Raw genomic sequence first — 27,981 nt, 5'->3', positions numbered from 1 at the left:
GAATCGCTTGAGCCCGGGAGGTGTCAGTTGCAGTGAGCCAGGATCGCGCCACTGCACTCCAGCCAGGGCGACAGAGTGAGACTCCGTCTCAAAAAAAAAAAAAATTAAAAATTAAAATATGTTAAGAACATATAAATCAGAATGAAGATAAATGATGTTAAAGAGAACTAAGGTCTTTGCATTGTTTAGGAGGAGACTTTACTAAATAATAATAGATTTAAATCAGTCAAAAATAGATGTTATAATTAATATCTTCAGTAACTACTAAAACTAAAAATGTATATAACACATACACTCCTTATAGACAGAGTGAGACTCTGTCTCAAAAAAATAATAATTAAAAAAAAAAAGTAGAAAAGTTAGCTGAGCATGGTGGCACCGGCCTGTAATCCCAGCTGCTCAGCAGGCTGAGACAGGAGAACTGCTTGAACCCAGGAGGTGGAGGTTGCAGTGAGCCAAGATTGTGCCACTGCACTCCAGCCTGGGCAACAGAGTGAGACTCTATCTCACAAAGAAGAAAAGTGATATATGCATACAGTGGAATATTATTCAGCCATTAAAAAGGATGACGTTCTGACACATGCTACAATACGGATGAAGCTTGAAGACATTATGCTAAACACAAAAGGATAAATCTTACATGGTTCCATCTAGATGAGATGTCTGGAGTGGTCATATTCGTAGAGACCAAAGTTAGATTCAAGGTTACCAGGGTTGGGGTAAGGGGAAGTAGGGCAGTTAAATTGCTTAATGGGTACAGAGTTTCTGATCGGAGTGGTGAAAAGTTTTGGTAAGAGAAAGTTGTGATGGTTGTGCAACACTGTACTTAAGGTACTTAATACCCTGAATTATAAACTTAGAAAATGACTAAGTGGCTAATTTTAAGTTAAATATATTTTGCCACAATGAAAAATATAATAAAAGGTATACAAATTAAAACACTCACTCTCCATCTAACCAATTCCACATGCCACGCAACTAAACACTTACTAGTTTCTTGAGATTCTTTTAATGTTTCTTTATGGAAAAACAAGCAAACAAGCCTAGTTATTCTAATTCTTCCCCGATACCCCATCCTGATTTTTTTAAAAAGCCAGCCAGTCATCAGCGGGTAGGACCGTCACTTCCGTCTCACTGTACTCACTCTACAGAATTACCATATGCAAAGGAACCTTAAAATAACAAATTCCAGTACACTGTGGTCCACAATAAGTATTTCATTAATATTTGGTGGAAGAGAGAATATAAACATTCTGCCATACCTGGTTCATTTATTCTGCCAAATGTATGCCTGGTATTGTGTTTTTTGGTCTTGAAACACGTTTCACAAAAATCAAAGTCATCACAGTTTCTGCATTTGAATCTGGATCCATTGATAGGAAACATCTGACATCCATCACACCTATTTGTAAAATAGCAACTGAGTTAAGAAAGGTCATTTATTAAACTTAATTCAACAGAAAACCATTCGTCCCAAAGCAAATCTAGCAATCATAAAAATAACTCACGTAACCCCAGGATGAATACTGGGCACCAACTCCATTTCTGATAGCAACCCAGTCCAGTGAGACTGCTGGGGAAAGTCAACAATGATATCTTTTCCATTGGCACTGAAAGCCAGGACACAACAGAAATCACCTGATCCATCTTCCTCTTCACCAATAAAAACCTGAACTTAAAACTGCACCTAGCCATGTCATACTACATTGTAGTTATTTGTTTTTTACAAAGAGTCTATCTTTTAGAGATAGGTACTAAAATGCTTATGGATGAACTAATATATGATGTCAGCGCCTGGTTTCAAAATAATCACAAGAAGGGAGCATGAATAATTTTGGCCATGAGGCGACAATCGTTAAAGCCAGGTAATGAGCACATGGAGGTTCATTGTAAACTACATTCCTTACTTTTGCATTAGGTTTAAAATAGGACATTTTGGTTTCTAATTACACCAAGTCAACAATTCCATACAATACCTTTGGTATCTCAGGGAATAAAAACCACATTAATAACATGAAGACTTCTTTCATCCTTTGATAAGAGCAACGTGTCACTCAAAACAAAGAAACCAAATTCTTATTTTTAAAATTTGTCTTGTTTTGATTTGCAAATATTTTAACAATCTCTTAAGCAAAGAAAAATGTTTAAAGTAAAATATTAAATAATCCACTTGTTCTTATGTAACATGAGAAGCTCTAGGAACCTCTCACCACTGGGGAACCACCAACTGTGGCCATTTTCTAAGCGATCTGATGAAAAGAGAGGCTTCCACAAGGTTCAAACGAACAAACAAATAATCTCTTTATGCATCAAGAGTTTATAAAACTATACACATACTTATTTCTCATGCAACTGTTAAAACGGACATAGTGTGCCTTTCAAAGTGTGCCACGGATTTGATTTGGAATCTCAACAGTATCATATTAAATATAATCTGAGAATTGTTTCCAGTTCCTAATTTCCATCATTAGCACATTTCCATTTCTTAAATTCAGTCCTAAATTTTTATACAGCATGAAAAAGAGCCAGGCATGGTGGCTCATGCCTGTAATCCCAACACTTTGGGAGGCCGAGGTGGGCGGATCAATAGGTAAGGAGTTCGAGACCAGCCTGGCCAACATGGGGAAACGCCATCTCTATGAAAAATACAAAAATTAGCCAGGCACGGTGGTGGGCACCTGTAATCCCAGCTACTCTGGAGGCTGAGACTGGAGAACTGCTTAAACCCGGGGGCGGAGGTTGCAGTGAGCCAAGATGGCGCCACTGCACTCCAGCCTGGTCAGGGGAGGAGAAAGAAAAAGCAGTCCTGACAGTCAGGAGCTGGCCTGTTAATGTCAATGTTAGGCCATTTCACAGAACAAATGACAGGACAAGTTTACAGAACACGAACATCAGATAAGGCCACTCTGTGACTGATGAATCAAGGCACAACCAAAACCCCTCCTTAACCATGTGTGATTAAAGTTGAGTCTAATCCAAACCACAAACAACCACACAGTCCCCTATCCTGGTGATATGAATGACTGCTTCCTTACCAATCATGACGTTAGCATGGCTCCATTCTTTCTGCCTGCTAGGTAAATTTATTAAGACATCCTGTTTTAGGATTACCCCTGCTTTCTCGACCCCTCCCCCAAATACCCAACATAAACTTCATTAGTCCTCGCTCACTCCCTCTGATGGAGACACCCATTCCCCAAGGTGTGTGTTCTCCTGTACCGCAATGAGTTAATATTAATAAATCTGATTGTTTCACTGTAGGTGAGTTCCTTTGTGGCCTTTGGCAGAAGGCACTGACAAGCAAAGGAACACTCTATCTCTTTCTTCACACTTGTTTTCTGTTTTGTGTGCTTGAACAAAAAGAAATACTAAGTACATATGCATTAATGAAAAGTTAACATCAGGAATTTAATTACCCAGATGATATTACCTTTCACAACCCCCACACTCTGATGAGTCACAGATCCCCATTTGTATTTTGGTGTGGTGACAGAGGCTTTGACCCGCACTTTATCACCAATCTTGATGTGAGAAGAACTTCTTGGTGGAGGATAGCCTACAGATTTCAATAACAAATCATTATAATCAGTATTCATTTATGGGAATTCTGTCTCTAAGAAAAAGTAAAAGCACTAAACAAAGAATGTGCTCACCTATAAGTTCCACATGAATGTACCTAAACCAGTAGATGCCCCCTTTCTGCTGCCAGTCACACTGCACATTGAGATCATGCAATCCATCTCTGTCCAGCTTGATGACTTTGCCAACATCACATCACCTTCGCACACTTCTTCGTATGTTCGGCAGCATCTAACCATCATTCCCACCTAGAATTAAAATGAAATTGGAGATCCAGTCCATCATGTACACAGGTGAAATGAGCCATGATAAGTAGTATTACTCTACTCTTAATAAAGAATTTCAACTGGGCACGGTGGCTCACATCTGTAATCCTAGCACTTTGGGAGGCTGAGGTGGGAGGATCACTTGAGCTCAGGTGTTTGAGACAAACCTGGGCAACATGGCGAAACCCACCTCTACCAAAAATACAAAAATTAGCCAGATGTGATGGCACATGCCTGTGGTCCCAGCTACTTGGGAGACTTGAGTTGAGAGGATTGCTTGAGCCTGGAAGGTGGAGGTTACAATGAGCCAAGATCATACTACTGCACTCCAGCCTGAGTGACAAAGTGAGACCCTATCTCAAAAAAAAAAAAAAAAAAAAAAGAATTTCATCTAGCACCCAGAGTGCATTCTAAGTATTATTTAATGATAAAGGGAAGAGAAACTCTTTAGAACACTGTCTGGCTTTGTGTCTCAGGCAGGAAATATACAGGAAGAGGCTGGATCAACTTGTATCATAAAGGAAGGGAGTTTTCAAAGATTACTCAAAAGGATTCCCTGATCATCAAAAATATAACAGTGGAGACATCACACCCTAAAAGCCAATGGATTGGTCATCATGACAATAAGGAAAACGAAGCTTCCTGGTCATCTTTATACATATCAGAACACCAATGCATCATTGTGAAAACTGATGAAGTCTCCCTGTATTATCAAGAGCAACCAAGATTAATAACAAAGCTTTTTTTCACAGAAGAGAATTCCAGCTAATGAACTCAGAGAAGATGAAGTTAGAAAATCACTATGGTGCAGCCCCTAATGATAGGTCTAGGTGATGACACTAATGCCTGCTGGAGCTATGAGATGGACAATTAATACAGAATGTCATCAAGGAAGGAGCAGGCTGACAAGACCTAACCCACCCAAACCTGCTTGCCTGTTGAGATGGGGCCGGAGGGAGTACATGCCTATGAAGCTTCCTGCCTGAGATTCAGCCTGGTCCAATCACCCTCCAACCCTAACTCCTACTGCATTGGAGAAACAGGGAGAGAGGAAGATGTTAGCCACAAGGAAGCCACCTCCAAATGCAGACTGTAAGACATTTGGAGGACATGGTTTCAGCCACAAATAAATAGCATGAAAGGAGAGGAAGGGAGAAGGAGGGTTACTATGAAATGAATGTTTGTATCCCCCCCGCAAAATTCATGAAGTCCCGACTCCTAATGTGGCAGTATTAGGAGATGGGGCCTCTAAGGAAGTCATTAAGGTAAAATCAGGTCATAAGAGTGGGGCTCTGACACAACAGGATTAGGGTCTTTATAAGAAGAGACTCCAGGATGGGCATGGTGGCTCACGCCTATAATCCCAGCACTTTGGGAGGCCAAGGCAGGTGGATCACCTGAGGTCAAGAGTTCGAGACCAGCCTGACCAACATGAATAAACCCTGTCTCTACTAAAAATATAAAATTAACCAGGCATGTGGTGCATGTCTGTAATCCCAGATACTTGGGAGGCTGAGACAGGAGAATCGCTTGAACCCGGGAGGCAGAGGTTGTGGTGAGCCAAGATCGTGCCACTGCGTTCCAGCCTAGGCAACAAGAGTGAAACACCGTCTCAAAAAAAAAAAAAAAAAAAAAAAGACACCAGTGCTCCCCTGCTAGCTCCAGCTCCCCCCATCCCCAGCCCCACGTCCACAGGAGGACACAGCAAGAAGGCAGCCACCTGGCCGGGCACGGTGGCTCATGCCTATAATTCCAACACTTTGGGAGGCCAAGGCGGGTAGATCACGAGGTTAGGAGATCGAGACCATCCTGGCTAACATGGTGAAACCCCGTCTCTACTAAAAATACAAAAAAATTAGCTGAGCATGGTGGCGGGCACCTGTAGTCCCAGCTACTCAGGAGGCTGAGGCAGGAGAATGGCAGGAACCCGGGAGGCGGAGCTTGTAGTGAGCTGAGATCACGCCACTGCACTCCAGCCTGGGTGACAGAGCGAGACTCTGTTTCAAAAAAAAAAAAAAAAAAAAAAAAGGTAGCCACCTACAAGCCAGGAAGAGGGCCATCACCAGAATCCAGCCAAGCTGGTACCTTGATCTTGGATTTCCAGCCTCCAGAACCATGAGAAATAAATGTCTGTTGTTGAAGCTGCCAGTCTATGGTACTGTGTTATAGCCAACTGAGCTAAGACAAGGGGGAACCACTCTAGCTTGGAATAGACTTCAAAGATCCATCAACCAAATGCAGATAAGGCATACAATCTTGGTTTATCCAAGTTCAAAAACTAACCATTAAAGCCATTTCTGAGAAAACTGGAAAACTACAAGCAAGCGTTAGATATGAGATGATATTAAGGAATTATTATTTATTTTGTTAGGTAATGCTGGTAAACAGAAATGTCATTATGTTAAGATTCTTTATTAGTGATACTCACTGACATATATACAGGTGAAATGAGATGATTTGGGGGATTTTCTCTAAAATATACTAAAACAAGAGAATTAGGACAAGAAATGATTTAAAGTAGATAAAGGACTATATAAAACATAATTAGATTTTTAAAGTTTGATGGCAATGAGAATTACATAAGAAAAACAAGGAAAGGTATGTAGGAAGTGTCACAAGTGGGGCTAGTAGAAAACAGCCATCCCTGCGCCATGTCCACCGTGGACAGGCCACTTGTGCTCTCCGGCTGCCCCTGAGCCCATCTGCCCCTCTGTCCTCTGGCTACACCGGGGCAGCCACAGCAGCCTCTGTCTGGGTGCCCATCCTGCTCAGCCACCCTTCACACCCTGTAGGCTTTGCACCCATCTCACCTTCTCATTGCAGATCCCGATCCCTGGACTGTGCCCTCACTCCCACCCCTTTACTGTAGTCTGCTCTCTCTCATTCCAGGGTACACAGCACCTTCTAGCGTACCATGAGCTCACTGGTCAGGTATGTCTTCCAGCACCAGAAGGCAGGCTCCCTGAGGGCAGGGGCCTCTGTCCACTGATGTTTGGCATATAGGACATACCCAAATATTTGCTGAGTGAAAAACGGATCGAGGCTCCAGCTTAAGACAATTACTCACCTGAATATTCTCTCTCACATATACAGCATAATCATCATTACCCAAGAAACCAGCTCGGTTTTTGTACGTCTGGCTCTCCGTCACAACAGCACCAGTAGACTACAAGAAATAAATACATTCAAAGAAAAAAAAAAAGGAGAACTCAATAAATCTACTCAAAAAGAAATGTCTGTGAAATCTATAATATTAAAAAGTAAAGGATGAAATCCTTTATTTTCTCTATAAAAATCTTCATTTAAAAAAGACTAATAGCAGTAGCATAGTAGGCAGAAATGAATCTCAAAAGCTACAAGTATACAAAATTTCCAAGGCACTTCCAAATTAATCCTATGAACAATTTACTCAGGTCAGAAACTGATGTGTCAAAACATGGTATTTTAATAAAATATCCTCTAATGGCTACCGAAGATCATGAGATGTTTGAACAAGGGTCTGTTCTGAAGCTAAAAGTAATTATGATATAGAAACCCAATCATCCCTTCAGTAGTGAAACACAGCTTTGTTCTGTGCCCGGCAACACCATAGGTTGGTTTTATGAAACAGTCCACAGTAGATATAGTTAATTCTTTCAAGGGACAGAGAAAGCCAAGGTGTAAGACTGTTAGAGCGCTAGACGGACAGCGGCCCAGGTGCGGGCGGTCACATGGGAGGCACTGACCATGGAGTAGGCGGCATCATCCATGTCCTCCACCACCTCCTCGTCAGAATACTCGTCGGACACCGTGTCTGCATCTGAGAGCTCCGTGACCTGTATGTCGGAGTGGTCCAGCAGCCACCCGACCAAGGCTTCCACACCTAAGAGAGGCACACACAGCACACCAGCCACTGTGAGTCAACAGCCCTGAAGCGGGAACCCACACACGTACAAGCAGAGGCCAGGAAAACGAAGTACCAGGCAAGCCGGACGCATTCCCGGAAGCACCAGTGAGAGACTTCAGGGCAAACTCGATGTTCCTTCTGGGAAATCCCATCTCCATGAGCTGCACCACGATCGGCAGAGCGGGAACGGGTGACTGCTTGCGCCTCTTCACTCTGGCAGGGCGGATGTGCTGCACGTTGACAGGCGTGGTGGCCTCACTGGAGCTGCAGTCTTCAAATCCTGGGCTCGAAGGGTGAGTGGACTCCACAACGGCCAGTGCAGCAGTCTGGGCAGACAAGAGGGTCCTGGGAGGTTTGGGAAGTGCCCTCGGCTAGCTTACACAGTCTAGGAACATGGGGCATCATGCAAGTCTAGAAAGCCCACATTCACATGTGCGTTTTTCAATGAGTTCCTAAAACATGTTAGAAAATGACAAAGCCAAGTTTCGCAGTTTAATGCAGAGAAAATACTTGGTGGTAAAATAACTTGCCTGTTTCAGCAGACAGAGAGCCTACTAAATTAGCCAAGTATCAATGTCCATTAAGGAAAACTTCATTACAGCCCTAAGCGAGCAGTCACAGGGGCTTGAGGGAGCAGGGAGAAAGGCATTTCCCCTGCCTTAACCAGGCACTGTGGTGGCGGCCACAGGCACCTGTGTTTTAGACAGGCCAGAAATGACACAGGACTCTCATGTACCATTAAAACAACCCTCAACTATTCAAGGGTTAAATAACCACAGTGAGGTTAAACAAGGTATTAAAAAGTAAGAGAAATAAAAGAGTATTAGTTGGGAAACACACTGCAATGAATCAGTGAACATCTAAACTGCCAGTCTCTACAGCTGGGAACTCCCCACCTACAGCACAAATAGCACTTCCCTGATCTGTCTGCAACTCCCTGGTCCTCCTCCCCAGCTGCTCTCATAGCACTGACTTGCTATTTTGTTAAACGGAGCATGTGAGGAAGGAATCAGGAAGAAACCGAGGACACTGTGGAGCCCCCCGGTGCTCAGGAAGTATCAAAGCCTAGGGTTTTGCAGCGAAGTCTGGGTAACTTGGAAGTGACAGGTTTCATCCTAAAAGTTTAAAATTCAGAGCCAGATTGAGCCAAGAGTTCTGGTTCTGATAATGGGGAGTTAGGGTGCATTGGACTAACCCTTGGCTGATAATAATCATGAACTCTGGATAAAATATTTTTTAAAACTGCTTGAGGGCACTGGAGAACAGCTGACGCAATCAGCAATAAAACAAGCACAACCCCTGACCCCGAGAAGCCTGCAGGTAAGACGCGCATTTAACCACAGACGGCGCACCTTCCTGCACTGCAGGGGCTGGGGTCCCGGCCTGCCAGAGCAACCAGAATGTGAGGGAAAGCCCGCCTGAGAAAGAAACCACAGAGGGAAAACCACGAAATATGCGGACGGACTACCCGCAAATCTACAGCTGAATCTAAACTGAAGCACCACTGAAGAGCCTGCGCTCGGCACAAAGGGACCGCTGGAAGGCTGCAGGGGCTCCCCAGCTGCCCAGGGCCAGGACAGCATCTGAGGCTCAAGCTCAACCAACTAGAGGTGGGGAGGAGAATGTCAAGGCTTCCAGTGACGCCCAGAAGAGATTCTAAATCCTTGAGAATTAAGGATCCACAACCAGGGCTAAGGGCAAATAAAAAATCATTAGAAAGCCTGGCACCAAGCCACCTCAGGATCAAGGAGGACTGCCAGGTACTGAACTGCCTGTGAGAAGAAAACTCCCCATTCTCCAGAGGAGGCAGAACCCAGAGCCAATACAATGTAACGTCCAAAGAATCCAGAATGAAATAAAAATTCTCATATGTGAAGGACAACAACCAATAACTGACTATAATCAAGGGAAAAAAACTGCAAAGAGCAGCAGACCAACAGGTGGGCAGATGTTAGAATTAGCAAACAAGAAATTCAACATAACTATCAGAAATATGTTTTAAAATGTACAGCAAAAGATAGATTTGGCCAGGCACGGTGGCTCACACCTGTAATCCCAGCACTTTGGGAGGCTGAGGCGGGCAGATCATGAGGTCAGGAGTTCGAGACCAGCCTGGCCAACATGGTAAAACCCCATCTCTACTAAATATACAAAAATTAGCCAGGCATGGTGGCAGGCACCTGTAGTCCTAGCTACTCGGGAGGCTGAGGCAGGAGAATCACCTGAACCCAGGAGTCAGAGGTTGCAGTGAGCTGAGATCACGCCACTGCACTCCAGCCTGGTGACAGAGCAAGACTCCATCAAAAAAAAAAAAAAAAAAAAAAAAGATAGACTTAAAGGATGAAGAAAGGAACTGTCAGAAGAGATATAAAACTATTAAATGAGAGCCAAATGGAAATAAGAGATGTGAGAAATATAAAATAAAGTATGTCTTGGATGGATATAACAACAGATTAGGCCCAACAAAGCAAAGCATCTTGACCTTTCAAACAGATCAAGACAAACTAACCAAGCTACTAACAAGGAGAAGAAAGACTTTCTATTAAAGTCATAAAAGGAAACTCACTAACCGTGTAACAGATGTATAATAGTATTTCCAGAAAAGAACAAAAAGAGCAAGACGGGGAAAAAAACAGCAGTCAAAAGTTTCCAAATTTGGTAGGGGAACAAAAATCAAGCCAAAGATGCAAGCAGCTTAAATAAATTTCAAGGAGGATGGTGGGGTGGGCGGGGTGGGCCACCATTGCATACATGAGCCCAGCTTAGGGAAACTGCAGAAAACCAAAGATAACACAAAATACGAAAAGCAACCAGAGAAAACAGACATTTCATACAAAAGAAGAGATGAGAACAACGACTCTCCATCGGAATCCATGGAGACAAAACAGCGGAAGGTCTTTTTTTGTACAACAGTCCTTCTCAGTTCCTGAAGAACAACTCTACACGGCCTTCTAGGTGTTCACACTCGGCATCTCCCAGCATGACTGCAGGGAGCACGTGCACCGCCCCACGTGCTCTCAAGTTGCTCAGCGTCTTTTGATCTCTGCCAGGGAGACTGGAAACACAACCAGGCCCTTTAAAATGAACCTTCACCTTGGAGGTTCCCAGACCTGAGAAGAAGCTGGAGTTCAGAAGAGCTCATGGCCAACCTCCTCCCTTCCTGCCCACACCCGTTTCTTGCTTTCTCCCTTTGCACCCCCACCATCTTTCCAGCTCGTTCTAGGATTGGGGGAGGCCTCCCACCTGTCCAAGGCAGTGGCTGCCTCATCTGGACCCTTGCTCCCAGAAGGGCCCTGCTATCTGAGGGTTTCTGTTAGGGTAATTTCTGATTGCCAAACTGAGTACTGATAGTTTTATTTTTGTCTCTGATATTTTGTCCAGATTTTTAATGTATTACACAGCAAGAAAGATTTTGGAATGAACATCTCTAATCCTCTATGTTGCCAGCCATGAAAGCTCCCATCCCTCTTACACTCAATCACGTCGCCTCCTCTATGCGAACGTCCCGTAGCCCTGACCCTGTGCCTCGCTGCTGCCCTCACCTGCTCCACAGCATGGAGAGAGCGGAGAGGCTGGCGGCACCAGAGCACCCCCAAGAGGCTCCTGAGTGAATGAAACAAACGGCTGCCAGAGTCCTGACGAGCCTCTTTGAATAATTCTACTTCCTGGAAAAAGATCCCTTCATGAAGATGTGAGCGTTTAACCCATGCTGCATCTAGTTAATATTTTTTCACAATTTACACAAACCCAAAATAAGGTTAAACTTCAACCCTCTCAGTCTTTAGTATTATAATGTTCTGCAGACTATGCACAAACATGGTTAAACCCCAATGAATCATTAGAATTATTTGCGTACTATCATTTAACATTCAGAATAGATCCTTAAGAAAATATACACCTAGAAAAAAAGTGTTCACAATTTAGTGCTGTGGATTAAAAACTGTCAAGGCTGCATGGCTGTACCTCAAGTTCCTGTTTATCAAATATGGCCTTCACAGGAGACGGCTGGGTGGCCGAGGCCAGCAGCTGCTGCAAGAGGATCATGGGGGGCTGCGGCCCTTCAGGAGACATGTCCCCAAGGTCAGGTGATACCACTGCTCCATCATCTGAATTTAAAAACAAAATATGTGTAAGATTCTATTTTCAACTGCGAACACCACTTTACTATTAAAGAAAATGCATTAAGCATGTTAAATCAGGTATGACTTCTGCCTCATTATGTGATAGAAAACCAAAATCTTCAAGGTTCAGACATCGAACAAAAACTAGACTCTAGGTTGGGTGCGGTGGCTCACGCGTGTAATCCCTGCACTTTGGGAGGCCAAGGCGGGTGGATCACGAGGTCAGGAGATCGAGACCATCCTGGCTAACACAGTGAAACCTCATCTTTATTAAAAACACAAAAAAATTAGCCGGGCATGGTGGTGGGCACCTGTAGTCCCAGCTACTTGGGAGGCTGACACAGAAGAATGGCATGAACCTGGGAGGCGTAGCTTGCAGTGAGCCGAGATCACGCCACTGCACTCCAGCCTGGGCGACAGACCAAGATTCGGTCTCAAAAAAAAAAAAAAAAAAAAAAATTAGCTGGGCATGGTGGTGCGTGCCTGTAATCCCAGCTACTCGCAAGGCTAAGGCAGGAGAATTGCTTGAACCAGGGAGTTGGAGGTTGCAGTGAGCCAAGATCACGCCACTGCACTCCAGCCTGGCAACAGAGCGAGACTCCATCTCAAAAAAAAAAAAAAAAAAAGGAACTAGACTCTAAACCACTTTCACTGCCTGCTTTTGGTCTCTGTCCTTCATTAGTGCATCTGTCTCTTAGAGCCAGCAAATGCTCCTTCCCAGATTTCTGCACTTGGTCTGATTCTTTCTCTTTTTCTTGAGATGGAGTCTCACTCTGTTGCCCAGGCTGGAGTGCAGTGGCACAATCTTGGCAAACTGCAACCTCTGCCTCCTGGCTCAAGTGATTCTCCTGCATCAGCCTTCCCTGTAGCTGGGACTACAGGCACATGCTACCACGCCTAGCTAATTTTTGTATTTTTAGTATAGATGGGGCCAGGCTGTTGATTAGATTTCACCATGTTGGCCAGGCTGGTCTCCAACTCCTGATCCACCCGCCTCGGCATCCCAAAGTGTTGGGATTACAGGCGTAAGCCACCATGCCTGACCTACACACTCTCTTTCATGTTCACTCACGGCTTCAGTAACCCCTGACACAGACACATCCCACGTGCATATTTCTAGCTGTAGCTTTTCCAGCTAAGCCTTGTTGAGATCATTAAGTGACCCCAAGTCCAAATGTGACATGTGCTCAGGGTGATGGCTTTTTGTCTGTTATGAGTAGCTTTAGGTGCAGCCTTTAGGACTCTGTTTGACACAGCCCCAGGGAGATCCACTGCGCTCAAGCCCACTTCACACATCTAGGTACTCATCCAGGTACTCACAGCATTTGCATGTGCTGGTTTTCTTCAGTGACAATTTCAACTAACTAGACCAGGAGCTGGAAATCTTTCTCTTAAAGGGCCAGAGAGTAAATAGTTTAGGCTGATGGGCTGTACAGTCTCTGTCCCAACTACTCAGCTCTGCCATTGCAGAGCAAAAGCATCCAGAGACGATGTGTAAACAAGTGGTGTGCCTGTGTTCCCATAAAAATTTACAAAAACAGGTGCATGGCAGTTTTGTCAATCTAGCTCTGTTCGGAGTCCCTGCTCGGCCCAAAGCACAGACTTGATCATCCTGATTCAGGTCTGCTGTAATTGCTCATCGGGCTGAGTGCAGAACAGAACAGCCAATCCAATTCCCAGGCTCCAATCTCCCAATCTCTACAACTGGGAAATCTTCATGTTCCCTACGACCTCTACTATTAATTGATTCTATACTTTCAATTGATTTCTTTCATCCTCAGCAGGTTTAAAATTAATTTCATAGCATCCTCTCCTCTTAAGAAGCAAACGCACACACTCCACATTCTACTGGACTTGCTTATTTGTTTCAAACACACTACTCAATATTCCTCCCTCAACTCAAGCTTGAAACAGCAGTCACCTTCCACTTTTTGCTGGTTCCCCATAAAGTTATCATCTACAAGACTACACCATCACAGTGGATGGCACCTTCCTTCCACCAGAACCTTCTTTCCCTTTTCATGCCTTCCCCCTCATCACCTGACGCAGGAGCAATTCTCCATCTCTGTCATCTCCTGTTTCAGATACTCCTATACCTTCCTAGCAGGTGTATCACCCGAAGGTCAATGCTTACCATGTGGCCCCTACCACAGCTTTCCAAGTGGGCCTCAAGTTTCACCCTGGTCTCCCAGGTACTCTGTAACAGGATGTCAGCTGCCCATCTAGCTTCAGCCCCACCACTCATCGAAAAACCCTGAGCTCCAAGAAGAGGAGAGCTGCTCAACGTGCTTCCAAAGACTCACCACGTTCACTCCTCTCCTCCTGCCTCCACCACCAGCAGAGTGCTTGTCTGCTGGCATCTGTCTGCCACAGCCTTCAAAGGCTGCCCGTCCAGTGCTCAGCTGCCACTGGCTCCAGACGCCTGTGGAACCACTCACATGCCTCACCGCCCCCTGGCCCCAGAGAACAAAGAGAGCCATCTGCATTCACTTCCTCTCCTCATCCAAACCCTAGAGAGCAATGATCATAGAAAAGGACTTCTCCGCAAAAGACTTAGCATAATGTCTTTCAATAGTTGGAGATCAAAAAATGTTTTTTTCTATTAAAAGTAACACAAGCTCATTCTAGAAAACTAAATATAGAGAAATATAAAGAAAATAAAGACAGCCAAAATTCCACCAAAGATTACTGGGTCACTGTTTTGCTAAACAGATAACTATGGCATATCTATAAACGGATATACATAGCAGTGTGCTTTTCTGTTCACTTACTGTTTTCATGTTTCCACAGCAATAAACATATACAGCTAGCCCTCCGTATCCATGGGTTCTGCATCCAAAGATTCAACAAACCACACATCAAAAATATTCAGAATAAAACAATTTTTTAAAATATAATTTTAAAAAGAATAGCAATAACAACTATTTACATATCATTTATTTTATTTTATTTTTATTTATTTATTTATTTTTTTGAGACAGAGTCTCGCTCTGTCACCCAGGCTGGAGTGCAGTGGCACGATCTCGGCTCACTGCAAGCTCCGCCTCCTGGGTTCATGCCATTCTCCTGCCTCAGCCTCCCAAGTAGCTGGGACTACTGGCACCCGTCACCACGCCCAGCTAATTTTTTGTATTTTTAGTAGAGATGGAGTTTCACCGTGTTAGCCAGGATGGTCTCAATCTCCTGACCTCGTGATCTGCCCACCTCAGCCTCCCAAAGTGCTGGGATTACAGGCGTGAGCCACCGCACCCAGCCTATATATCATTTATATTTTTAAAGTATTTCGGAGGATGTGCATAGGTTATATGCAAATACTACACCATTTTATAGAAGGGCCTTAAGCATTAGTGAATTCTGGTATAACTGGGGGTCTTGGAACTCATCCCCATGGATATTGAGGGAAGACTATACATGTACCATCATTTTGAATGGCACCATGATATCACACTGTACGGATACACAACATAAGAATGGGTATTTTGGTGTCTACAGTTTTTCAATACAAAAACAATACCAAAAAGGAGGCCATAACGACACTGTTGAATACATTATTTTTATTTATTATTTTTTTTGAGACGAAGTCTCACTCTGTCACCCAGGCTGGAGTGCAGTGGCACAATCTGCACCCTGCAATCCGCACACACGGCAACCTCCGCACCCCCCGGTTCAAGTGATTCTCCTGCCTCAGCCTCCCAAGTAGCTGGCATTACATGCAGCCACCACTATGCCCCGCCAATTTTTTTTTTTTTTTTTTGAGACAGAGTCTTGCTCTGTTGCCCAGGCTGGAGTGCAGTGGCGCCATCTCAGCTCACTGCAAGCTCCGCCTCACAGATTCATGCCATTCTCCTGCCTCACCCTCCCGAGTAGCTAGAACTGCAGGCGTCTGCCACCTTGCCCAGCTAATGTTTTGTATTTTTAGCAGAGATGGGGTTTCACCGTGTTAGCCAGGATGGTCTCTATCTCCTGACCTCGTGATCCGCCCGCCTCGGCCTCCCAAAGTGCTGGGATTACAGGCATGAGCCACTGTGCCCAGGTGGTGAATACATTATCTTTACATGCCTTTTCGTGTGATAAAGTCCCACAGAATGACTTGCTGGGCCAAAGTATATAAATACATACATACATCTATGCATTTCAAAGTCCAACTCATTTCCTCAGACGCCCATTAGATGGCTACACCAACTGAAATTCCCAGCAGCAGCCTGTTCATGGAGTGCGGCTTTACGCGCATTTGAAGAACCAGCTTAGGTTCATCTTGTTACAATACAGGCTCTATTTCTTTGGTCTGGGGTGCAGCCTGGGAGTCTGCATTTCTAACACATACCTGCGTGCCACCAATCTTGCTGACCCATGCAGCACACTTTAAATGGGAAGGCATGAAAATACCTTTTTCCCTCCCCACCCACCAGATGCCCTCAGTCTTGTCTTATAAGATGACGATGACAATTTTATTCACAGTTGGTGGTTGCTGGGCAGGCCACGTGTCTGTTTTGTACATTTATAAGCCACCTATGTCCATTTTTATGAACTGATTATTCACTTCCTTTGTCTACTTTCTACTGCCCTTCTTATAAAGATTTAAGAACTTTTTAAAAAGACACCTGTGTGAACAGTTCCAGTCTCCTGAACAGCTGGCTGAGACAGGATCTGCCGCAGTTTATCCTGGTGGGAGAACAGCGCCCGACCTGCTTTCAGGATGTATAGCTTCAACTGCTGGCGCCGCAGCAGGTCCAGGTCCACTTGTCCTGCGGAAGGAAAGACTCAGTGAGAAGGGCGTGCCCTGCTCAGACTCCCTCCTCGCCAGCAGCAAGCCTCCGCCACATGGCGACGAGTAACGCTCTGCCCTTCAGGAATCTGCCGACCGCACACACTGTCCGTGACGAAGGGCTTGCCTTTCCCAGAGTTACACTCGGTGCTTCTGGGTAAGCATCTTCTGCCTCCTGGGTCTTCCTTCCCTGCTCTCCAGGCACCTAACTTGATAGGACGCAGGATTCAATGGGTTTAACACGGTTAGAACCATGTTAGCTACTATTAATATGATCAAATGTTCCCCAAGTTGCTGAAGTTTCAGCCGCTTCCACTCTTCTTCTAAGACTCCTCTGAGAGAATCTGTCAGCCCCACTAGCTCTTTAACTGATGAAGATCGCAGCAATGCCCAAGGCTTATCTGATAGCAGAGGCCGCAGAAGCAGCACAGAGAGCATGGGGTGGGAAGGAAGGAGGGCCGCAGGTGCCGCTCGGACACTGGCTCAACTAACTGGCAGACAGTTTTATTCACCACGATGGGAAACGGCAGCTACTAGAGAATGCCAGCCAGCTGAATTTCGGACATGTGGTGATTTGCATGCACTGCACCTCCAACCAGAGATGTGAATGGGAGATCCAGAGTTGAAAGTGCTTACATCATAAATGCTGAAGCAGCAATCGTAGGTCTGTGGGAGCAAGAGGGGAGAAAACTCAAGAAGACTGGGCAGAATACGCCATAGTTATGGGTGAAGCCACACAGACTTCCAGGACATAAAGAATGAGCAGAGAGAAGAGCTCCCTAGAAACATGGAAACAAACTCAGGAGAACCGCCTTCTAGACCCGAAGGAAGGCAAAGCCAAGCCAGGCTACAGTCACAGTCTTAGCCATCCTGAATGTCACAGGCAAGCCAGGCGCTTCCGGGACAGAGGCCCCTGGATCCGGCAGAGAACAGGCTGTGAGCCATGGTCCAACAGGGTGACGGGGCCACAGGGCCCTGGGATGGAGGGGAGGAGGGAAGAGGTGAACAGACTTCTCTTCCGGGATAAAGGGTGACACGGAGAAGAGGGTGTGAGCCATGGGGTTCTTCAAGTGTGGCTCCGAACATGGCGACAAAGGCTGACTCGAAAATACTCATTACCACGAACACAGGGTTACATTCCCAACCGCAACTCAACAAATGGTGAGCCCACGTGAACCCCAGGACTTTAGTACGTCCGTGAATTCACTCATAAAAGAACACTGTACAAACCACACGAGTTTAAGACGGCAGCTATTTCATCAAGAAGCGCCATGTACTGACCTGCAAAGGCCTGTTTAGTCGATTTCTTTATTTTGTGCTTTTCTAACTTGCTTCCAGCGAGGTTCACCAACTGAGCCCAGACAGACAGCATGGGCTCTGTGAAGGGCAGGTTGTTCACATTAAAGGCCACGGCAGGGAGCTGGAGAGGACACAGAAGCTGTCAGAGTGTGGCCAATATGACTAACAAATGAAACGTTCTGAAAGTCATCAAAACCATGGGCTTAATCCTGAAATGCCACACATACCCGTAAGCCTTTTTATAGCTGAGAATAATCATTTTTTAAAATGACATTAAAGGCAGGATAGAGATTTACACATATAATAAGTATAATCTATATTAATTTTTCTTTACAAACCTGTCAACAATAATTACATCAGTGTGGTGGTTACTATCTTCTCAGATATTTTCTATATACTTCAAGTTTTCTACAACATGTATATATTCCTATAATAATAAAAAAGAGTACTTTATAGAAAATATAGTCAGGCCGGGCACGGTGGCTCACGCCTGTAATCCCAGCACTTTGGGAGGCCGAGGCGGGCGGATCACCTGAGGTCAGGAGTTTGAGACCAGCCCGGCCAACATAGTGAAACCCCATCTCTACTAAAAATACAAAATTAGCCAGGCGTGGTGGCACACACCGTAATCCCAGACACTCAGGAGGCTGAGGCAGGAGAATCGCTTGAACCCGGGAGGCAAAGGTTGCAGAGGGCCGACAACATTGTGCCATTGCACTCCAGCCTGGGTGACAAGAGCAAGACTCCATCTCAAAATAAAAAAGAAAAAGAATATATAGTAAGATTGCACTTGGGCTACATCAAAATAATGTAAATGGCTCCTTCTCCCTGTGCATCCTTGATTCACAGATTAAGATGACAGTAGCTGCTACATTAAGTCACGTCACTCAAAACTACTAAGCATTTTCTACATGAAGAAAGGCTGTTTTTTTAAAGGTGTTTAAACATGTTTGTTTTTTTAAAACTTGAGTTGTTGAATAAAAAGTAAACTTCATAAATTCACATTTTAAAATAATTAGAACTACCTCATAGATGCACGGTACCTTCTAGGTTGCTAAAGCCCTCTTCGTGTCTCTGAGGCTGAAATACACACGAACCACTGCTTTAAGTGCCCTGTGAGACAGGCCCTGCTTACCACAGAAGCACAAGCTCGCACAGCTTCCTGGAAGGCAAACTTCAAGTACCAGAATCAAGTTCTTTCAAGTGCTGATGTTGGTGCTCGGTTCTAGTGTAAAGTCAATTTCCCTTATCATGCAGTAACTAAGCACAAGTTCACCTACTGGTTTCAGCTGATTCAATGGGCAAACGCGACACGTCCGCATGTCAGAGAACTGCACGGTGATTTTGCCCTTCAGGGTGATGCGAGTCATGGTGACTTCTCCAAAGTCATCGTGCACAACTTGGCCGCCCAGGCACAGGCGACCATCGATGCCTCCAACCACAGCCAGGACCGCCATGAGGCCCCCCACTTCAGGGTTCTCGGAATCAGGGAAGTAGTCATCTAACTGGGCCTAGTGCAGACCAAACAGCGAGCTCGACCGGGGACACTCACGGAGCTGCCCAATCCCTACAGGTTTACTGTTCAACTAAATTAATTCTGAGAACACAAACCCACCCCTTTGGAAGGCCTTCCCGCAAAGCTGTGGGTGATGGAGCGGAGCTGGGAGTTGATGTACTTGTTGATGAGCCCATTCCACCGAGTCAGGGAGTGCAGCGTGTGCAGCAGTGCCACCACCTCCTCCGCCAGTGTGCTGCTGTGGGTGGCAGTCAGCGAGGCCTGCGGGCACACCCTGCGCCGCCTCAGCGTGGACTCTGAGGAGGAAACCAGGGGAGAAGCTGCTGCACCACTCTTCACCAGGGCACAGGGAAGGGAGACGGCCACTCACCTCTGAGTGACGGCACTACACGGCTCTTCACCAGGACACAGGGAAGGGAGACGGCCACCCACCTCTGAGTGACGGCACTGCACCGCTCTTCACCAGGGTACAGGGAAGGGAGACGGCCACCCACCTCTGAGTGACGGCACTGCACCGCTCTTCACCAGGACACAGGGAAGGGAGACGGCCACCCACCTCTGAGTGACGGCACTGCACCGCTCTTCACCAGGGTACAGGGAAGGGAGACGGCCACCCACCTCTGAGTAACGGCACGTCAGAGGAGCACATAGTGAGCAAGCTCCCCAAGAAGTCAAACAGCTTCTCCATGAGGCATTTCATGTCCCTCACCCTTTCGGTCTTGTCCCATGACGGAAGGACTGCTTGCAACAAATGCACAGCTAAGATCTGATAAAAGAAAATTTAAAATGACAAGCATTAAAAAAAATCTGATGAGGAAACTACAGATTGTTATTTTCTTTTTTTTTTTTTTTTTGAGACAGAGTCTCGCACTGTCGCCCAGGCTGGAGTGCAGTGGCACGGTCTTGGCTCACTACAACCACCACCTCCCAGGTTCAAGCGATTCTCCTTGCTTCAGCTTCCTGAGTAGCTGGGATTATAGGCACTCACCACCAAGCCCGGCTCATTTTTTTTGGATTTTCAGTAGAGACAGGATTTCACTATGTTGGCCAGGCTGGTCTCAAACTCCTGACCTCATGATACACCTGCCTCTGCCTCCCAAAGTGCTGGGATTACAGGCATGAGCCACTGCGCCCAGCCTCTCTTTATTTTCTGTTCTCATAATGCAAGTAATCATGTGAAAATTTTGAGATTCATTATTTTACAGCCAGGTAATTACACTCAAGTTGATTAGTGATTAGGATTGTCAGGGACTTTAGAAAAAAGCAACATTACAGATGCATGTGTTTAATTAAAAAAGAATTATTTTTAGTTTAATTCTTAAGACAATTACACTACAAATTCTGTGAAGCAGATGAGTAAGTAGTTGCAGGATTTACCACTTAAGAGAAAAGCAGGTAAACTGAAGGTTAGCAACTTACCAATTATCAAGGACCTCTGCCCCTTGCCTCCAGAAAATCTACCCTGTCACTTCTAGACCCTTTCTGCACTCGTTACGGAATAAAGGCCCCTGACTCTGAGGGCAGGGAACTTCAGTACATGGAGGCCTCTCTCAGGGAACTGGTTTTGCCTGGCAGCACATTACCTGCCTCTGCAGCGAGGTGGCAGTGAAGGGTGCGTGCCCTTCCACAACCTTCATGAGCAGCGTGATCCACTGCGGGGAGCTGAGGGCGCCGCACACCTGCAGCGTGAGAGCGATGCTCTGCACAAACCCCAGCGTGCACCAGCTCCGGTGTTGCTCCCTGTACACCAGCCTGTTTGGAGAAGCTGCGGGAGGGAAAATAGACATGCTTGGTAACAAGTCCCTAAAGACAAATCCCTAAAGATATATATATCCTTATTTTTTTATCAACTTATTTTCTACAATAAGCTCCTTTAAAATATATTGCAGTTTGTAAATTAATTCAAACTAATTCAAAGTGAGAAGTGGAAGGCGGCTTTTAAGTTAGTTCAAGAAACATTTCCGAAGTTTTCTTTTTTTTTTGTTTTTTTTAGAGAAGGGCCCTCACTGTGTTGCCCAGGCTGGTCTAAAACTCCTGGGCTCAAGTGATTCTCCTGCCTTGCCCTGCCGAATAGCTGGGACTACAGGCATTTTTAAAACCTTCTAAGTATGTGTCGTAAAAGTAGTTAGGGAATTTTAGCTATGCATTGTTTCTAGGCAATAGGAAAATGATCTATAATTCAAATAGTAATTTGCAACAGTGCATCTATTATATTTTTAATTTCGTGTTTTAAATATCTCCACAATCTTGGTTATATTTAATCTGCACCACTTAAATACTCTTTTTGTAATTTTAGTAGAGACAGTTTCCAATCCAAGTTTAATGCATCTGCATTAACAAAATGAGTTTTTCACTAGGTTTACACCACTGGATTCTGGCACCAGTGGGCCCACCTCTGCTCCGCCTGGCTCCAGGACTCCACTACTCCCTCAATGGAAGCTGAGGCTTGGAGGCTGGGCCCCCTGAGGGACCCCGCCCACAGCCCCACAGGACCTGCTCTCCCTCCCACCTCCCCCACCCTGCCCTCAGCTATCCAAGCTTATGAGGACACCTGCCTTCCTTCAGCACACTCACATGCGCTCACACACACACACACACTCACTCTCACACCCTCATATGCATCCTCACACTCACACTGATACTAAGTTATTCAGACACACTCATGGGCACTCATACACCCACCCTCACACTTTCAGGTGCACTCACACCACTGTCGCAATCACTAACACACACACAATCCCAGTCACACGTATGCACAAACAGATGCAAGCTGACACACACTCCCATGCACTCTCACATACACTTACCCCTCCCAATGCATACAAAAACTCACATATGCACTCACACTCCTCAACACTAGTAATGACCGATTACTCACCCACTCACACCTTTACCCACACACTTTCTCACTTTACACTCACACCTATACTGTTATAACCTCCCATTCACTGACACAAGCAAAATGCTCACATTCACTCACACGCATTCACAATAACATCACTCGTGCTCACACTGACACAAGGCACTCATACACATTTACACAAATGCTCACACTCAATCGCACACTTACACTTGTGCCTGCCACCCACTCATACTTCCTCACACTCACCAACCCTCACTGACTTACACTTACACTGGGTGTCTCATTCGCACACCCAGTAATCCCCTCACACTCACACTCATGCCTCCCTCGTGCTCACCCTCACACACACACATTGGCTCAATGCACCGACGCTTTCACTCCCACTTCACCTGAATGTAGTCACCTGCCCACTCACATGCTCTCATGGACATACACACACCCACACAACCACATGCTACAAACACACCATCACACTTGCAACACAAACGCTCAGCCACTTGCCCATCGACCGCTAACACACTCACTCTCATCAATATGTGCGGACGCTCCAGCACACCACTAATACACGCATGCTCTCACACACACTGGAGGACGCCCACATACCCACCCACACTCACACGTGCTCACTCTCAGTCACATGCACACTCACCCCACTCCCTCAGCTCACATTTCTCATACTTACTCTCCACACACACAAACACTTTATGGATTAAACTGTGCCTGTCCTCCAACTTCACATACATTCGGAACCTCAGAATATGATCTTATTTAATGAGGTCTCTGTAGACGTCATTAAGGTAAGAATTTAGGTGACATCATGTTGGATTAGAGTCAAAGAAACTCAATGAAAGAGTCCTTTCAGAGACAGAAAAGGACATGCAGAACACAGGGGCAGGGGCCATGTGAAGACGCAGGCAGAGACTGGCACAATGCGTCCCAACACCAAGGAAGCCTGGAGCTCCCAGAAGCTGGACAAAGTAAGGAAGGACCTTCCCCTAGAGCCTGTGGAAGAAGCATGGCCCTGCCCGCACCTGGATTTGGGACTTCTGGTCTCCAGAACTCTGAGAGAACAAATTTGTTGTTTGAAGCCAGTGTTACGGGTTGAATTCAGAATTGCAAAATTCGTATGTTGAAGCCCTAACCCCTACCGTACCTCGGCAGGTGACCTTGTTTGGAAATAGGGTCGCTGCGGATGTAATCAGTTTGATGAGGTTGAATGATGTCCTCATGAAAAGGGGAGATTTGGAGGCGACTCACACACAGGGAGAATGCCATGTGAAGATGACGGCAGAGATAGGGGTGACACCTCTACAAGCCGAGGAACGCTAAAGAGACCAGTAAACTCCAGAAGCTGGGGCAGAGCCCTGAAGCAGCTTCTCCCTCACAGCCCCAGAAGGAACTACCCTTGATCTCAGCCTTCCAGCCACCAGAACCGTGAGAATTTCTACTGTGTAAGTCCCCAAGTTTGTATACTTTGTTACAGCAGCCACAGGAAAGGAATCCACACACATCCACACCCACCCACATGCACACCCAGACACGACAAGCGTGCGGCCCCCAGCGCTGACTCCCTGGGCCCTCGATCTCTCATTCCATACATGTCTTGTCCGTCGTTCCGCTTTCCACTAACATTCGCAGCAGTCCGCATAAAGTCTTGGTGGCTTCACTCTGCATGATCTCAGCATGAACTCCAGCAGACAGACAAAGAGTCTGCAGTAAGTTAATAGTGCTGGTAAACATCATTGCAGTGGGGTGAATGTTCCTTTCAGTTTGTTCGGCTTCTAAAAAAAATAATCAAAATTACAAATTATATTGGCAGCCCCAGCCTCTTGGATGGTCTTACCAAGCCCAACCATGTGAAGCTTCACGTGTTTTAGGAACAGCTAAGAAATGTCACGAAACCTCCTCCCACAACCTGGATCTCCACAGATAGGATCTAGCTTTCTTGGTCCACCCCTAAATTCTCACCTCTGCTTCCCTAGAAGCGATAAAGTGCTGACTAACTCCACATTACATGAAGAGTTCAGAGTCAGGGACCACAGAGGAAAGGTAAAGGCAGGTGGCAGGTGGGGTGTGCTTGGGCAGGGGCTCTCACTGGAGGAGGACGCGATGGACCGAGACCGCAGGGCAATTCCACCAGGCCTCGGCTCACTCGCTCAGATGCAGGCTCAGCACCAACCACATGAGACTCACTGGTGATGCAGCTGCCCCCACCTGGCCACCACATTCTCAAAGAGGGGCGGGTGCACACATGAGAGGAAAATGCAGAAAGTCAGTTCCAGCCAGATCGCCGGATCCCACAGTCACTCCACACACCTGCATCGGAGGTGCCTGGGAGCTTATTTAAATTACAGGTTCCGAGGACAGAGCGCCAGCTGCAGGTGTGTCCTGACATCCCATTCTAAGGCCCAGATGGCAGTGGCAGCACCCAGCAACTGGACAGTTTGTAGGCTGCCTTGGACTAAACACCTTCCTGAGTCACCCACCAGAGTCGTCCTCTGTGTCCGAATCCTCTGCTGAGGGCTGTGCAGGGGCTGGCAGCTCTGCCAGCTTGAGGTCGTATTTTCCTTCTTTCCCCATCCTGTAGGAGTTGGTGCTGCCTGTGTCCCACTGGACTCTTATCCACCCGTCCTCTCCCAGCTCACCAATCACTCGGCCTAGGCCTGGAGGAGGCCCATCCTGAGAAAGCCAAAGTAGAGATCAGTTAGGAGGGTGCGTAACCTGCCCTGGTCCTTCCATGGCTCCCAGCAGACCTCAGTTAGGAGGGTGTGTGCCCTGCCCTGGTCCTTCCATGGCTCCCAGCAGACCTCAGTTAGGAGGGTGCATGCCCTGCCCTGGTCCTTCCATGGCTCCCAGCAGACCTCAGTTAGGAGGGTGCGTGCCCTGCCCTGGTCCTTCCATAGCTCCCACCAGACCTCAGTTAGGAGGGTGCGTGCCCTGCCCTGGTCCTTCCATGGCTCCCAGCAGACCTCAGTTAGGAGGGTGCCTGCCCTGCCCTGGTCCTTCCATGGCTCCCACCAGACCTCAGTTAGGAGGGTGCGTGCCCTGCCCTGGTCCTTCCATGGCTCCCACCAGACCTCAGTTAGGAGGGTGCGTGCCCTGCCCTGGTCCTTCCATGGCTCCCACCAGACCTGCCACACAGATGTCGCCATATGCCACCCTGTCTGTCAGGGGCTGTCCCCAGACACAGATTTCACCTCTCCTACAAAATGTGTGCTTGCATCATTTTAAATTAAATGGCATAAAATAACGTGCTCATGCTGCTTTACCAAGGAAGTCGGGGAAATCTCATCTCAATGAGGATCCTCTGAGTCAATGCAGAGACAGGGCTTTGCAGCAAGTCCTGTCCCCACAATCCCTCACGGGCCTTGCAAGAGCGGAAACCTGAAACAAGCACCAGCACCTCCACATTCCCTTTGCTTCAGTTTCCCCTGGGCCCCAGGGGGAAGCTCTGTCTCTCACTTCTGCAGGAGAAAGCTGTTTCTAGGATGGATGCTGTCTCCAGACACTGCTATTTCTAAGATGACTGTGACAAAGCCAGGGCTTACCAGCGTGGCTGAGAAAAGCCAGACAGACCATGGGAAGGTGAACACTGCCCTAACTTAGCTAGGGCTGTGGTAAGTGACTTCCACCTGGGGGCACCTGGCAGAGATTTAGAAGAGACCTGCGATGAGGGAAGATGGAAACGTGGCCACAGGCCCATGAAGTAGATCCCTAACTACTGGCTTCAGGGCACTTCGCAGCACATGGCCATCAGCCCACAGGGGCAGCATCTGGGCTTCCTGCCTCAGAGCCTTCACTACACCAACTTTCAGAATGAGATTTACTCTCTTGCTCACTCTCACACTCTTGTTCCAGTGACCCATCAAACTGAGCCTCATGCCAGTGAGTTTCCTGAAAAGAGCTGCCTCTCTTTCCAGACTTGATTCTGCTCAGATGCCCTACTTATGATTCCCTGTTTGTGTTCACTCCCTTCAGCTGCTCGGGAACCAACACCTGTGTCATCGATCAACTGACACATCCTGGATTATTCCAATTTCCACCCACCAATATCGTACAGAACTATGCAGAAGATAACTAATGTGTGGCTAATGTGTTCACATCAAATCTCTGAGTACCTGATCGCCCCATTTCCAGTCCACACCTCTCATGACCCTTGTTCCAATCTTCATCATGGCAGCCAGTTCTGGCCCTGAAACAGGGAGCTGCACAGGAGCCGTTTCCTTCCTTGTTTCTTCCAAAACTGTGGCAGAAGCACCTTGGGCAGAAGCATTCATATCTTCCTCAACGCTGTCACAACTGGGGCCTGACGGAGCGTCAAAAACAATAGCTGAGCCAACAAGTAGCTACAGTGTCCCCTTAATACACACAAAACATTCACAAAGTACTAATGAAGATCGTAATTTTGAACAATCCATACTATATGTTTTATCAATATAATATTATGAATATTTTACTGATATAGGATAAAAAGAAGATAAACGGAAGGATGAAATACATAAATATCCTAGGAAGATATAAAAGATATTAAAATGCTCAGTAAAGCTACTTTCTCTACTTCTAGGAATTACTCCCCTGAAAAAAGCAAAATAACTGAGTTAGAAAGATCCTCATCACATTTTTTATTAATAGAAAAACAAAGATAACTACCTAAATATCTAACAGTGGGAAACTAACAAACTTTAATCATGGTTCTGTGCAGAAGACAGCTAACAGCTGGCCCGAGATACAACCTCAGACAGGGTTGCTGCAGGCTGGCCCTCAGCTGGAGTCTGGATCTCAGGAGGGCTCCCCCATTCCCTAGGTGGTAGGTGTGGTTCCCTGTGCCTGAACTGTCTGTACAAACAATGTGGTCTGTGCTGAAACCTGCTTTCCTTAGTCTGGAACTTGGTACACGCCAGGCAGGGGGTGCCCGTGTGATCAGTCCTGATGGAAACCGTGGGCCTGGAGTCTCTACCCAGCTTCCCGGCAGACAGCACTTGACACGGCTCGGTGCCAGGGCAGTTAAGCTCGTCCTGTGTGGATCCTGTGGAAGCTTGTACCTGCTTTCCTCTGGACTTTACCCATGTCCTTTTTCATGATTTTGCTCTGTGTCCCTTCACTGTAATAAACTATAGCCCTGAGTACAACTACATGCTGAGTCTTGTGAGTCCTCCTGGCCAACCATCAAACCTGGGGGTGGTCTTGGAGACCCCTGACAATTGGTGCCCTGGGTGGCTACAGAGTCATCCGTAGCACAAAACAGAAGCCGAGCTGCTGTCACCTGAGAGAAGTAAAACTTCCCAATGGATCTGAAAATAGGAGCGCTAACCCTAGGAGAGTAGGCTAGATTTTTAACCCCCCTTTTCCCACTTGCTAAACTGAGAGGGGGTAGGAGTGTGGTTCTGGTAACTCCCTTGATTTTAGTTTTCTCCTCCAGGTGGGAGGGAAAAAGATCCAAACAGTCCCAAAGGTGGGCTGGGGTGGACCAAAAAATGTAAAAAGTTTGTGTTTCTCTCTCTTCCAAGAGAACAAAAAAGGATATTCAATTCCCAGGGCTGGAGCAAAACTTTAGATAAACTAGCAGGAGAAACAGCCTTTCCTTTAGCCTAGCCGCTACTTTAGGGCCCCCAGGAAGGGGCCCCAAGGAAGGGACAGGAGTTGCATTCCAGGTGGATCTCCCAGGAGCCCCTGGGCAGCTATACTG

At 46.4% G+C, this 27,981-nt stretch overlaps 1 pseudogene across 1 annotated transcript in view, besides 2 other annotated features; it reads right to left on the bottom strand.

The window, feature by feature from the left end:
* HERC2P2 (HERC2 pseudogene 2) overlaps positions 1-27,981 on the bottom strand; it is a 95,995-nt pseudogene that overhangs the window by 9,846 nt on the left and 58,168 nt on the right. The window contains exons 17-33 of the transcript NR_002824.3: positions 26,414-26,601; positions 24,782-24,974; positions 23,894-24,076; positions 21,016-21,197; positions 20,051-20,198; positions 19,532-19,728; positions 19,197-19,427; positions 17,899-18,037; positions 16,454-16,597; positions 14,624-14,681; positions 11,695-11,837; positions 7,805-8,057; positions 7,571-7,707; positions 6,913-7,011; positions 3,654-3,827; positions 3,431-3,556; positions 1,263-1,402 (exon numbers count right to left, since the gene is read on the bottom strand). The product of NR_002824.3 is annotated as an HERC2 pseudogene 2 (transcript). The remainder of the gene's footprint in view (positions 1-1,262; positions 1,403-3,430; positions 3,557-3,653; positions 3,828-6,912; positions 7,012-7,570; positions 7,708-7,804; positions 8,058-11,694; positions 11,838-14,623; positions 14,682-16,453; positions 16,598-17,898; positions 18,038-19,196; positions 19,428-19,531; positions 19,729-20,050; positions 20,199-21,015; positions 21,198-23,893; positions 24,077-24,781; positions 24,975-26,413; positions 26,602-27,981) is intronic.
* Positions 14,044-14,623: an enhancer, noted in NCBI's record as "OCT4-NANOG hESC enhancer chr15:23306154-23306733 (GRCh37/hg19 assembly coordinates)". NCBI's record gives its function as "activates a minimal SCP1, AML or CMV promoter by ChIP-STARR-seq in primed H9 embryonic stem cells {active_cell/tissue: H9 hESC(primed)}" and the evidence as "EXISTENCE:reporter gene assay evidence [ECO:0000049][PMID:30033119]".
* Positions 19,621-20,120: an enhancer, noted in NCBI's record as "H3K4me1 hESC enhancer chr15:23311731-23312230 (GRCh37/hg19 assembly coordinates)". NCBI's record gives its function as "activates a minimal SCP1, AML or CMV promoter by ChIP-STARR-seq in primed H9 embryonic stem cells {active_cell/tissue: H9 hESC(primed)}" and the evidence as "EXISTENCE:reporter gene assay evidence [ECO:0000049][PMID:30033119]".

Source organism: Homo sapiens, chromosome 15 (genome assembly GCF_000001405.40).
Source record: "Homo sapiens chromosome 15, GRCh38.p14 Primary Assembly".
NCBI lineage: Eukaryota > Metazoa > Chordata > Mammalia > Primates > Hominidae > Homo > Homo sapiens.
Note: the sequence above shows the minus strand (reverse complement) of the source record. Positions and strands in the feature narration are given on the sequence as shown.